Consider the following 14,412-nt stretch of genomic DNA (forward strand, 5'->3'; position numbering starts at 1 on the left):
TGTGCTGTACAACATAGGGCCTATGATTAATGATACTATGTTGCCTACTTTAAAATTTGCTAAGAGGTTAGATCTTATGTTAAGTATTCTTAGCACAAACCAACAAAGGGAGTGGGCGGAAGCTTTTGGAGGTGATGGATAAGTTTATGGCATTGATTGTGATGATGGTTTCATGGTGGAGGTGATGGATAAGTTTATGGCATTGATTGTAATGATGGTTTCATGGGGGTATGCTTATCTCCAAATACATCAAGTTGAACACATTAAATATCTACAGCTTTTTGCATGTCAGTCTTCAGTAAAGTGGTTACAAATAAGCAAATTTTTTAAAATGTTAAATAAAAAGAGATTAGAGCCATCTTCTTATTTGACTATAACTTGCAATCTATCATCATTTCACCTTTCACATCTAGACCCAAGACCCATGAAAAATTAATTTTTCTTCAACAAATAGTAAGAACCTGTCTCTGGCAGGTTCTGATGAAGATGATGCAGTGACAGCCTTAAGAGTCTACCTAAGCTTTCGTGTTCACAGACCTCAGTGAGAATGCCATCATCACCATTATTAGTGGAGTGTCCTTGAACCCACTGTTTATCAGTCTTCTAATCAACACAGATCGTTTGAAAGATTATGGAGATATTTGAGGTCTCTCAGCATACTGTATTATGTATTATCCATCCCAATAAATAGCATGCCCATAGTGGATATTACTTTTCATAACAGTATCCGGGAATTTTATAGATCGTTGTTAGCATAGTCAATAAAATCTTGATCTAGCAGCAACTGGATTATATATTACTATCAATAACTAATAGTATTACTACTAATAATAGCTAATATTAGATTAGTTTTTTGAATCCCTTTAAGCTTAGGGCCCTTGAGCTTAGAAATGTTTTCTTGGGAATGGCTATGTATTTCCCAAGTTTAAAAACTAGTAATGCATAAAAAAGGTGAGAAGGGTAGGATTATGATTTCATCTTTTTTTCTTCTTTGTGCTTTTCTGTATTTGAAAAAAATAATAGATTCAATTTTCTAGAGCAGTTTTTAGCTTCATAGCAAAATTAAGCTGAAAGTATAGAACTCTCTCCTCCTTCCCCACCCAGTATAGCCATCTCCTTCATCAATATGTCACATCATTACCATACCATTGTGAAAATTGATGAACCAACATTAATACATCATTATCAACCAAAGTCCATAGTTTACATTAGGGTTCGCTGGTTATGTTACGAATTCTATGGTTTGGACAAATTTAAAATGACACAATCCATTATTATAGTATTATAAATAATAATTTTCCTGCCCTAAAACTCCTGTGCTCCACCTATTCATCCTTCCTTCCCTGCAAATCCCTGACAACCATTGATTTTTTTTTTTACCATCTCCATAGTTTTCCCATTTGCAGAATATCATGTTGCTGAAATCATGTAGTATGTGGCTTTTTTCAGATTGGCTTCTTTCATGTAATAATATGTATTTAAGGTTTCTTCATGTACTTTTGTGGCTTGATTCCTCATTTCTTTTTAGCACTGAATGATATTCCATTTCCTTGATTTACCACACCTTATTTATCCATTCACCCACTGAAGGACGTCTTGGTTGCTTCGAAGTTTTGGCAATTATGAATAAAGCCTCTATAAACCTCCATGTGCAGGTTTTTATGTGGACATAAGTATTCAGCTCCTTTGGGTAAGTACCAAGGAGCATGATTGCTAGATCATATGGTTAGAATATTCTTAGTTTTGTAAGACACTGCCAAACTATCTTCCTGAATGAATGTATCTTTTCACATTTTGCACTCTCAGCAATGAGAGTTCTTGTTCCACATCCTTGCCAGCATTTGATGTTATCAGTATTTTGAATTTTAACCATTTTAATAGGCATCTTGTTTCAGTTTGCAGTTGCCTAGTTACATGTAATTTTGAGCATCTTTTATATGCTTCTTTGCATATCATCTTTGATGATGTATCTCTTGATGACCTTGCCTACTTTTTAATTCAGCTGTTCATTTTCCTATTGTTGAATTTCAAGAGTTCTTTATATATTTTAGAAAACACTTTTATCAGATTTGTCTTTTACAGTTGTTTTCTCTCAGTTTGTGTCTTATCTTTTATGTATTTTTCAAAATTTCTAAGAACATACTTTACTCTCATAGACCAAATTATGAAAATATCTCTATCTTTGTCAAAGATGGCCCACACTCTTCAGTAGGCCTGGACAAGGCAACACAGGAACACATCCTGATGGTGCTTCGGTGCATATGACTGCAGCCTTACGAGGCCTTAGGAAAGAGCGTTTTGATAAACCTGCCACACGTCTGTGTCCCCGCTATACTGCTGTCTAGACACAGCCACTCCAGGTTCAGCTAATGTTTCATTAGGCCAGGTACAGATCCCCAGAACGAGGCCTTTATTATGGCCCATGGACAGAAAGCCCTCTAAAGGATAAAGAATGCAGAGTTGGATTTGGTGACCTTATAATCCAAAGTAAGCCGTGAAGTAAAAGTTCTTGTTCATGTTGGTTCACCAAGAACATCCTGAGATGTTGTAATCTTGCACATCACATCCCATTACTCCTAACTCCAGTGGGTTGTCCCAATTACATGAGATTCATTATCTAGAATGAGACTTGAAATAAATGAACATTTGGAATTGGGGAAGCTGTCTTAAAGTGGCACTGCTTAAAGTGGCTTTATGATCATGATATCTGGCCTTTGTCATCTCTAGGGATTTTGGTTTGGGATCAGGTTGCCCATCCCCCAACCAGGCCTCTTAAATTTGTCAGCTTTCATTAACATCTTGTGTTTCTAGTGGCTGAAAGATACCTAGTCAGTTAGGTCTGCATCTAGCTGGGGCCACACCATCTATAGGATCCTGCCATTTTCCAAGGGCCGTACCCTGCTACCATTTGACACCTCTGTTTAAAGACACTGATTGCACCTTCATTTTTTTTTTATTGACTACCCCATTTCTCTCTATTAGACCTTCTTGGGATCTCACTATCTGCTGGAATTGTACTAGGGTTGGGCTTGATCCCTGTCTAATTAGTGACTCTTCCTCTTCTTTGGGATTTTATCTTATATCCTGCATCTCCCTGCCTCTTCTCCCCCGCTCCCCCAATATGGCATATGGGTGGCTCTGTGCTACAGTGAATTCTGATTATCTCTTAGGAAATAGTTTAGGTAAGGATTAAAATATAAATAAAATAGATAAGAAATCAAATAAAATCAAAATTATAAAGTAAAACAGGATTTTTCAGGGTTAGTGCCAAGTTGTTTGCCCTTACCATTCTCCCTGGCATCTGGGGGTTGGAGCAGAGACAGTGGGCCACAATTACAGGCCTAGTCTCTGCCCACCACAGGATGGTGTAGTGGAATGAACACATGCTGCAAACACATGGAGCCAAGACTTCTGTTGTGTCCCTCTTTCCTGGCCCTGGCCCTTGTGCCTGTTCCTAACAGGGAAGCTGCAGTTAGGGAGGTAGCATTGTGTTGCAGTAATACGTGGGTGGCAGGTTCCACGGTGGAAGGCTGTGGTTAGACAGAGGGCATGCTCAAATATGACCTGGGTTAGGCTTTCCAGCTCTTAGACTGGTTCCCCAGAGTCATTTGGGAAAAATATTTTGCTTTATTTGAAAGACCTGATTCTTCAATCCCAGAGAGAACAAATATGTTTTCAGAGTACTTGATAATTCTGAAGTGTCCGAATGTGACCTTTGGGTCATCAAATTGCACTCAAACCCATTTGAATGGAAGGCAATATTAGTTGAGTGCCAAGAATACCATGAATATTCATTAGTTCTCTCATCATCATGATGATTAATACCCTTAAAGCTATAAATGTCTGAATTCCTTTATGGACAGTTGATCTTGAGAGTGGTTTGTCTACATGAGAAATTAATTTTTGACATGATAGTTAACATCAGTATTGGCTTTTTTTGAAATTTGTTTATCAGAAAAGAAATTGTGTCTACCAAATAAGAGCTTATGTGTATTTAGCTCAGATGACATCCCTGAATTATTTGCTATTTGACATCCCTGAAACACACACACACACACACACACACACACACACACACTCTTACACGATACTTACTTTGGTGTAGACCCAACCAATCCAAAGTGTTTATTTAAGGGGCAGGAGCTGCATAGGAGAAGAACGTGTGTTTCAGAAGACTCAGCCTATCTTTAAACATCTTCGTGGAATGATCTCAGGCAAACTACTTATGATATCCCAAGTTTTGCAAAACAAGAGTGGTATATTAACCTCTTTCACCAGTGTACTATTATGATGAATGGGAACTGTGTTCATAATTAGTTTATAAACTGTCAGAGTGCTTTAAAAATATGAGGAATATATACCCATGTGTACGTATCTACATCTTTGACATAATTATACAAATTATAAATTTATTTCTTCATCTTTATGCAGAATTTTAATTTTGCATTGTACTTTAGATGTATCCATTGTACATTAAAACAGGTGTTCAGTTTAGGAAACAGGCTAAAGCTTCATTTAGGACACAGATGTCTTTAGAATATGATGTGTTTTTTGTTTACTTCTTGTTTCCTTATAGGCCAACCGAGCGATAAGTACCGTTGAGTTTGTGACAGCTGCTGTTGGTGTCTTCTCATTCCTGGGCTTGTTTCCAAAAGGACAAAGAGCAAAATACTATTAACAATTTACCAAAGAGATATTGATATTGAAGGAATTTGGGAGGAGGAAAAGAAACCTGGGGTGAATACTTATTTTCAGTGCATCATTACTGTTCCAGATTCCTATGATGGATGGCAGACTCTTTAATAAATTGCTTACTGATATTATCTTATCATTGAGCCAATGAAATTTTTTTCCCCTGCTAGCATAGATGTACTGTGGCAGCTTGAACGGAGAAGCAGTAGTCTTTTGAGTGAGCCAGCAGAAGATCTTAACAAAATCTCATCACATTTTATTTCTACTATAAATATTATTTTCCTTTTCCCCAAGGGTGGCCATTTTGCCAGAGGCATGAAAGACTATTTATATATGGTTTTGAAAGAAATTTTAAGAACCCCAGATTGTTAAGAGTTGACATCCAAATTCATGTTTCTTTTCTTGTTGGAAAAGAAACTGGGAAATTTAGCATTTTGGTTAGGCAGTTTGAGGGACTCTAATTTACAAGCCTTTTGGGGAATGCACCCTCATCTTCTTCCTGCCTGTGTAGATGAGGGTGGATGGGAAGAGGAGAGGCTGTTTGCTCCAGGGTTTCAGTTCCGGTGATTTGTGTGGAATCTACTTGCTTGTCAGGAGGACATGACAAGTAAGAGTGGGCTGTTATTTCTACAGTGTTACATATTATTCCCTTTGGATTTTGAAGTGTTTCAGGGATTTGACCTTTTAACCTTGAGAAGCAATCATTAAATGTTTGTTTAAAATGCCATATTTGGAAAACAATATCTCATATTTTTAAGACTTTTTTACAAGCCAAGGAATGTCATAATTTTATTCTCTCATTTTATTATGTGTTGAATTAAAGACACTGCTTTTTATGCTGCTCCAGTGAAATTCTTGGTTGCAGCAGGTGGAGAAAGGGGGAGTGCAGCTCTCTCTAACCTAGGATTACATCAGACATTGTAACATGACCCCATAAACTACACCACCAGCCAATGACATCCGTCTTATGCTATCATCAAAAGCTTGGCATTAAATAAAGGAAATGTTCAAGTTAATATTAGGGGGTTGATACAGTGAGAAAGCTAGGAATACAGTACATAATGTAACTGAACAGAGGACTCGGTGAAAGTCTTGTACCTATTAAACTGATTTAGATTTTACCCCAGGGCCAGAAATACTCAACAAGCTAACTGCAGGGTTAATAATAATGGTAATGGAAGGAGTTGTGTGCTGCAGTCCAGGCCACAGAGACCCTATATCTCGTCCCTTCTTTTTCAATAATTCCCTCCCTTTCTTATGGCATCAACTCTGTCTCCAGTAACCCTCAAAGACTCTCTTCTTCCACTGGTCTTCTGTGGGGGTGTGAGTGTCTCCTACCAGGAACTAATGAGAGAAAATTTCTCTTTCATTTTTACTCTAAATTCAAGTCTCTGTTCCTTTTATGCCTTGTTCCCAAGTAATAGTTAAAAACCACAATAACAGGCCAGGTGCGGTGGCTCACACCTGTAATCCCAGCACTTTGGGAGGCCGAGGCAGGTGGATCATGAGGTCAGGAGATCAAGACCATCCTGGTTAACATGGTGAAACCCCGTCTCTACTAAAAATACAAAAAATTAGCCAGGCGTGGTGGCGGGCGCCTACAGTCCCAGCTACTCAGGAGGCTGAGGCAGGAGAATGGCGTGAACCCAGGAGCGGAGGTTGCAGTGAGCCGAGATCACTCCACTGCACTCCAGCCTGGGCGACGACAGAGCGAGACTCCACCTCAAAAACAAAACAAAACAAAACAAAAAAACCCAGTTTTCTAGTATTGTCAAGTTAAGATGAGCCTGGCAGTAGCATAATGTGTTACCTTTCCCAAGGTACCCTTTTCAGTAAAGGATGCCTACACGGGGCAAATCTTAACCCGAAGCAGGGGAATTACTACACCCACCAGTGGGAGAAGGAGCAAAATTTGAAGTCAAGAACCTCCTAAGAGCCTCAAGTGCAGCCTTTCTGGAGAATTCTGGATGTCTCCACTCCAGAAGACAGTCCTGTCTGTGCTAGATAATGTCATAAATGCACTTTTAAATTAAATTCATGGATTCATGTTCACATTGGTAGTGTTTGAGGGTGTGGTAGTTTTCACCCTTAGAGGTTAGCTCACAAAGCCATCAGTTTCCCATAAAACTGGTTACTCTTGATGATGGCCAGCTTAAGACTGTCCAGCTTGTTTTTCCTATAGGTGATTATTTGATATCATGCTCATTGTGCTTTTATGAAATGATTTTCCCAAGACTATTAAACCTTTCTCTGAGCATATTTTTAACAGTCAGGAATGGAGTTCAACTTTATCACATTCTAAGAATAAAAATTATGAAATAAAGATCGTTATCCACCAGAAACCTTATAGGTTGTAGGAAAACCTGGGGGGAGAAAAAGCCTATAACTTTATTGAATCTATTTTTTAAAAAATCTTTTTATGCTATTGAAATATTATACAGTGTATCAATTGAATCTTTTCATTCTAAAAGTCAAATTACTAAATGCAGATGTCAGCTCAAGGAACCTGAACTACCATTTTTTTAGTTTGATACATAGTTTATAATCATAAACTAAAAATCTCTTCTTTTTAAAACTTTTGTCTTGTTACCAGTAGCTGCTAAATTATACACATTGTAGAAATTATTACTCTCCAGAGAGCTGTGAATACAAGAAAAGGTTAAAAAGCAAACAAAATGTAAACACAGAGGGATTGTTTTTATAGGAATTTGCATTTATGCTGGTGGTTTGTGTAACATTTATAATATGATTTACAGTAGCGAATTTCATGTTGAAACATTTATCATTCCTAAAGATTTCAGAATTGTAAACTCAAGGCTATCATATATTGAATCCGTACATCATGGTATTAGGTACATAATTGGCACTCATGTAATGAAACTGGTTAACTAATTGCCTATGGTCTGTTAAATTAGCAAAATCAGATTTATCGTTATAAGGAAAGACCAGTAGGTAATTTAAAATGTTCACTAGAAATAAATTTTCTCTCAAGTTTATGGTGAGGGTGATATATAAAAGGTAATAGTGTACAGAATATATTTGTAAAGGATGCACCCTTTCATGTGCTATTTAATATGCATCTAGTAAGATGATTTAGATAATTAAAAGATGAAATAGAACTTAAGATTGTTTAGTAGCCTGAGAACTGTCATGCTGCAGTTACAAATATAAGTCCCTTTTCTAGCATTGTTTTTAAGATGAGTAATGTTGAGTTCTGGACGACTTTTAAAGTTAGAGCTTGAGGCTGGGTGCAGTGGCTCACGTGTGTAATCCTAGCACTTTGGGAGGCTGAGGTGGGTGAATCACTTGAGGTCAGGAGTTTGAGACCAGCCTGGACAACATGGTGAAACGCCATCTTTACTAAAAATACAAAAATTATCTGGGCATGGTAGCGGGTGCCTGTATCCCAGCTACTCGAGAGGCTGAGGCAGGGGAATTGCTTGAATCTGGGAGGCGGAGGTTGCAGTGAGCCAAAATTGTGCCACTGCACTCCAGCCTGGGTGACAGAGCGAGACACCATCTCAAAAAAAAGCTTGAGGTTTTCATGTGTCAGTAACAAGCAGTAAATGTTGCTATGCTTCTTTAAGTAAAAGTATCTTTTTACAGTTTATTTCATTACCTTTGTGATCTACTCTAAACTTTCCTGTTCACTGGCCCCTAAACACTATACACTGAGTGATGCCAAACTTTGGTGGAATTTGCTTATATATTAACTGTGCCCATGCCAAGATTATATGGAATTAACAAACATCTCCTTCATTCTACCACTTCCACACAATTCTGGCTTATTATAGTTAGGGTTGAATTTCCGAAAGGGTTGAATTTCTGAAGTAAATGTTGGTCCTTGTTTCTCTATGAAAAGCATACCAGTGAAACAAAAAGAGGAACTGTGACCTTGGGAAAAGATATATATGTAAATGTTCTTCACAAAGATTTAAGTAAACTTGTGACAACTAATAGTAAAACTTTCAAAGACCAAATGTTGCCTCAATTTTTCTTTTTTCCATTGATGTTCATACTACTAATTTGACTACAGTACCATGACAGCTGCTCATTTTAAACAAAATAATGCTATGCAAAATGAATACAGTTTATTGAAAAGGATGATACAGGAAATGCATTTTTTTCTCTCATTGGTAAAGCATACAGTCAGAATAAGCCTATCTAAGGTCCCTTGCTGCAAGGTTTAATTCATTGAAAATATACTTTGAATGCTTGAATGGAGAGAGGAAAGGTAAGGGGAGAGTATCATCACTTCTCCACAATGTGTTAATTTTGGGGAAAAAAGCAATGCTGTTGAGCATGTACGACGACAATTCTGATTACAGCCTGGCCCAGAAATGCTGTTCTGTGGGTTGGCCTCCCAATTTGAGTTTTCTTTTTGGAATCTGTTCATGGCTTTCATAGCCTCCGTTGATGTAGAATCCATTTTTGCCATCACCTGAATAATCTGTCCTGTTTATGGGAGGCCAGGTTGAGTCTTCTGCTAGCTTCTTTTGCCAAGTCCTATATTGACTTTTAGAGTAGAATCCAAATTCTCTTTTGATCAACAGCCAGAGTTCATGATTTTGAAGGATGGAATCCTGAAAAATCAGATGGGAAAACAATCAATTTATTGCGCAGGTCCCCCTGCAGCCAGGCCGCTGGCCACCACAGCCACCTCCTTTCCCCAGGCCTTCCTCTGAGGTGTGCTCATTGCTGTTGCATCTACCTCTCCTTTCCCAAGTTCTGGAATTCTGCCCTTAAGAAGCTAGAGGGTGCTTGTTTTCACGGAAATCTGCCAGAAGCTTCCAGCATTTCCTTTTCACACATTTCCTGGTTAAGTCCTGGCTAGGGATTTTCTTAGAATGATTTTCCCCTCAGACTGAAATGGTAACAGCAATAACGTGCTCAAAATGAAGAAAAGAAAAATCACCATTAGCCTTGCTACCTGCCACCTGCCATGTAAAAGGTGTCTAAGCGTTTGTTGAATAAAGTGTTGAGCTCTAGAAATCAAATGTTTATTGGTTTTCATTTTTTGAGAGTTTTCTTTTGTTCACATGCCCACACAGTTTTTATCCATTTATAGTAATGAAATTGGTCAAATTTTGCATCCCAGTTTTATTTATGCTAAACTTTCTGTGGTAAACAATTTTTATGTAGCTTTAGCCTTTAAAAATTTTTATTTTATTATGGGAAGAACGTAGGTACAATATGATTAATAATGATTTTTAGTGACTAGCATTTCCTCAAATCGCTGTATAGCTATTTAAACAAACAGCATCTCAACAACACTTAAGTTGAATGTAATATTTTGCCACTGTAGATAATATTATGATAAGTGCCTTCATACATGTAGTATTTTTCTCTTCTTTTGGGTTATTAAAACATAGTCTCAAAAATGGAATCCCCTTTAAACATATATAATGAGGTGTATATATATTTTAAAATTTGGTTGATCCCTTTTCCAAAAAGTCTTAAAGCACATGAGTTAAAATAAAACTCTCCTTTTACAAAAAAGAACTCTCCTTTTACAAAGATAATACTTGAGCCTCTTACTAAGTGGGTAAAGTCATTTAGTGACACTGAGTAGAAAAGAAACACCGTAAGAGGAAGACCTTCAAGAAAAGGAATTGACTAGAATAAGCAACGGCTTCTCCTCTTTCTTATGGAAACCCTGCGGAAGGCAGTTCTTCACTCTAAAAAGTCTCTTTGGGTTTTAGGGTTGGAAGGTCACCTGGTCTAGTCTTTACTAGATTGTTGAAAATATTAGAAAAGTGCAATACAGTGCATTCATGGAAGCAAAATTAGAGTTCATACATGTTTTGCTTTCTATGCATAAGATATCAAGAACATTTCTATGCAGACTTCAAATAATTTTAAATCATTCCCCCCAAAATTTTCCTCCAAAAGAATATGTACCATTTTAATAAACCCTTAATAACTGTCATTTTGGGGGATCAAAGTGGTTGCTCTAGAAAATAAGCACCTGCTGAAAATGAGATCCTTAATTTGTTTATCTTCCTAGAAAAAATATAGAGATTACTTTACCTCTACAAAGAAAGCCACACAGAATTGGGTGAGGGCTACCACCAAAATTAAAACCCTCCACGATGTTATGGTTGGGATCAACTGTTGAAAAACAAATACCATTATTATATTTTGCACACTTCACACTTTGAAAAAAGACCATATTAATTATTTAATTTATAGATTTGTAATAACTCTCTGAGCTTAGTGGTGGGCATTACTTTGTCCCTTTACAGATAATACAACTGAAGGACTCAAAGCCTATAAATAAATGGCAGAACCAGAATTCAAAGGAGAATGGACTACCTCTTGGCCTGTGTACCTTTGACAGCCTCATGGTGCCTACTGAGAAATGTGCCCTGAATCACAAATACGAGACAGGACATTTTGGAGGCTATGTGTCTGTCTCCATTTTTATCTTTTCAAACAGAAGGCTAAGATTAAATCATTCATCAAATAATGTTAATATTTCCAATTCTCCCAAAGCAAATTCTACCTGGAATTCATTCTTTAAGGAGGACAGAGAAATGTAAGTATATTTTGATTGAGACTAGATGCAGATTGCTTCTGGCCCTATGTCTGATGGGTTAATGAAAGTTGAATGAACCCTCCAAACCCACCAGTTTTTAAAATTTAAGGGTACACATTAATCATTAAATATGCTTATTTAAAGTGTGAGAGCCATAACTTCCCACGGCTGCATCCATAGCAAAAGGCTAGTTACACAGCCTTTTTTCTGAGACCCCACCCAAGAGTGGAATATTTATGGCTGACTGCGTGTGGGACTGAACTCCCTTGAGAACAAAACTCACTGACCCTCCGTAGTATCTAAATGCTTATCCCTAATTCTCACCCCTATGCTGATACGGGTTATTTCAAAGTAATACTTTGTCATTTTTTTCCCCAGGTGGAGACAGTCTTAATCAAGTTGTGAAATACAGCAAATTGTAAAGGGTTGTTTGGATTAAAGGGTTGTTTGGAAAAGCTGGGTCAGATTCTAGCAGAGAACCTGGCTCTTTTTCTCATGGCTGCCACCACTCCAATCCAGAACTAACTCTTCTCCATCCCTTGACCTGGAAGTCACTTGATTTTGAATTATTTGTTTGTTTGTTTAATTTTGAGATGGAGTCTCGCTCTCTCAGGCTGGAGTGCAGTGGCACAATTTCAGCTCACTGCAACATTCTCCTGCCTCAGCCTCCCAAGTAGCTGGGAATACAGGCACCTGCCACGACACCCAGCTAATTTTTATATTTTTAGTAGAGACGGGGTTTTACCATGTTGGCCAGGCTGGTCTTGAACTCCTGACCTCAAGTGATCCACCCGCCTTGGCCTCCTAGAGTGCAGGGATTACAGGCATGAGCCACCATGCCTGACCCTGGAATTATTTATTTATGCAATGGTCTTCTCCCCTAGCTTCTAAACTACTTGAGAGCAGTGACCACACCTTATTCATCTTTGTAACTCTAGTACCAAACTCACTCTGGAGCTTCGTGTTTGATAAATGAATGACTTGGGTTTTCATTTCCTAATTGCTTGTCTCTCCTCTCACATGTAGTCTTCCTGCCGTCATCTAATTAGTCTGTCTTCAGAGCCCTGCTGAGAAGCCTGCTCAGATAGCTTCATTCACTCCATGTTGCCCTTGGCATAAAGTCTAAACTTCTCTAGCTGCCTCCATCCATCCATGCCTGCCTTTATTATTCATTCTTGTTCATACTCCACAGCACATGGCCTCAGTTTTAGCCAGTCTTCTAGTGCTTGGGTAAGCCTTGCTTTTGATTTCTGTCTCTGCCACCGTACATTCATTTGCATTTCTAAAACAAAACCTCTTTCAGTCCTCTCTGCGTCTTAGGCTGTTCTTATTGGGAATATCCCTACCTCCTACCTGGCAAAATGTGGCCTATTCTTTTGAACCCAGGTCAAGTTGCATCTCATCAATGAAATGCCTCCCATGACAGCCACAGTCCACAGTGGGGCCTCCTTCTTCTATGTTCTTCCCAGTTCTGTCTGTCTTCACACTCTTTTCAAGTATGGATAGCCTCAGGTAGCGTTCAAGTATGTCTCATCTTCACAACAAATCTATGACTCGGAGATCAGGAGCCAACCCTTCTCTTTTATTTCTCTCACAATACGGGGTCCAAGAATTAGTTCAATAGCCTTGATGAATTAGATTTTAACCCAGGGCATCCTGGATCAAATTATATCCACTGATATAAAACTTCATGTAGTCAATATCTGACAAAACATGACTGTCTTATAAGTCTATGTTTTCTTTCCCTTTATAACTACTTTATAAAGGATTTCTATGATATGGTTTATTTTTTTGAAAATTGTACTTGGAAAATTATTGTATTATTGCATTAATTTTATTGTATTGGTATAACATAGCATAATAAAGTATCCAAACAATATTTCAGGTAGGTACAGGATAAATGTACCCAATAATATTAATAATATGAAAACCATTAGAGGCCAGTATAGGTGAAATCCAGATATCTTATTTGCCCTTCTAGTATATAGAAATAGCCTCACAGTATTTGGTGGTCAAAGAGAATACAGTAATAATTGACTTGTGAATTACAATGAATACATGGTCCATGTACATGAGTCATGCCAGATGTGCAAATGAATGCCACTTACCTCCATTCCACGGTATATAACTTGAAAGTCAGAAAACAGAATGAAAATTGTGAGGCCCAAGGCAGCTAGCAGCAGAAATGAAAATATATCTGAGGAAATACCAAACATTATTTTTAGATGTTAAAAGAATGTTTCATATAATTTGGCACACATTGCAGAATCAATTATCTCTGTTGGGCAAATACCAGATATATCTTCAGATGTTTTGATATATCCTCATATGTTTTGAAATATGTTCTAATGCTTATAAGATGAAGGTAATATCTTAGAATCTTTCCTTGAAAGTCTGGATGTAGAGACTGTTAATCAAATGTATTAAAGTAACCTCCATAAAGCAGCTGCCCTGGTGCACTATCACTGCGTGTCCAGTGAGTTGTGCTTGCGTGGGATAAACAGTCAGTGTTCTTGGCACCATCTCATTCTTCCCCGTTGCCTGGAGAATAAAGTTCAGGGATCCTCTATTGACATTCAAGGCCTTCCACAATCTGGTCCCAATCAGCCTTTCTAACCTGGTCTCTGACTGCTCTTCCTTATGGGCAATTGGAAAGGTAAACCATAAAACCTCCAGCTTCCACGGAGGCCCAACACTCTCTAGCTTCTGTGTCTTTGTTAAAAAAAAAAAAAAAAAAAAAAAAAAAGCCCTGTGTACCTGTGTACATAATAATCTTCCTGTCTTGGCATGCTCCAATTTTTCTTTCCTTTTTTTTGAGACAGAGTCCCTGTCACCCAGGCTGGAGTGCAGTGGCACGATCTTGGCTCACTGCAACCTCCGCCTCCCTGGTTCAAGCAATTCTCCTGCTTCAGCCTCCCAAGTAGCTGGGACTACAGGCGCCCACCACCATGCATGGCTAAATTTTTTTTGTATTTTCCATAGAGATGGGGTTTCACCATATTGGCCAGGCTGGGCTCGAACTCCTGACCTGCGATCCACCCGCCTCGGCCTCCCAAAGTGCTATGATTACAGGCATCAGCCACACCCCTGGCCTCCAATTTTTCTTAAACCAGTTAAAATACCACTTCCTCTTCAAAGAGTAATACTCCCTTACAAAAGCTTATTTCATATAGTATGTATCA

At 38.2% G+C, this 14,412-nt stretch overlaps 2 protein-coding genes across 10 annotated transcripts in view; one reads left to right on the forward strand and one right to left on the reverse strand.

The window, feature by feature from the left end:
* The window catches only part of PLAAT1 (phospholipase A and acyltransferase 1), a 40,821-nt gene that overhangs the window by 25,422 nt on the left and 987 nt on the right, over positions 1-14,412 (forward strand). For 5 of the 7 annotated variants that reach the window (XM_047448626.1, XM_047448625.1, NM_001366112.1 and 2 more), the window contains one exon: positions 4,577-4,828. In XM_047448626.1, coding sequence (XP_047304582.1) covers positions 4,577-4,678 — 102 coding nt within the window. In that variant the 3' untranslated portion in view covers positions 4,679-4,828. Of the gene's footprint in view, positions 1-4,576; positions 4,829-10,937; positions 11,231-11,608; positions 13,971-14,412 lie in introns of those variants that run through there. The other 2 variants (XM_011513034.2, XM_011513035.3) reach the window with 2 other exon arrangements.
* The window catches only part of ATP13A5 (ATPase 13A5), a 103,965-nt gene continuing 98,314 nt past the window's right edge, over positions 8,762-14,412 (reverse strand). For all 3 annotated transcript variants that reach the window (NM_198505.4, XM_047448075.1, XM_017006305.1), the window contains 3 exons: positions 13,339-13,427; positions 10,723-10,803; positions 8,762-9,275 (listed from right to left, as the gene is read on the reverse strand). In NM_198505.4, coding sequence (NP_940907.2) covers positions 9,015-9,275; positions 10,723-10,803; positions 13,339-13,427 — 431 coding nt within the window. In that variant the 3' untranslated portion in view covers positions 8,762-9,014. The remainder of the gene's footprint in view (positions 9,276-10,722; positions 10,804-13,338; positions 13,428-14,412) is intronic.

This window comes from Homo sapiens, chromosome 3 (assembly GCF_000001405.40).
Source record: "Homo sapiens chromosome 3, GRCh38.p14 Primary Assembly".
Classification (NCBI taxonomy): domain Eukaryota; kingdom Metazoa; phylum Chordata; class Mammalia; order Primates; family Hominidae; genus Homo; species Homo sapiens.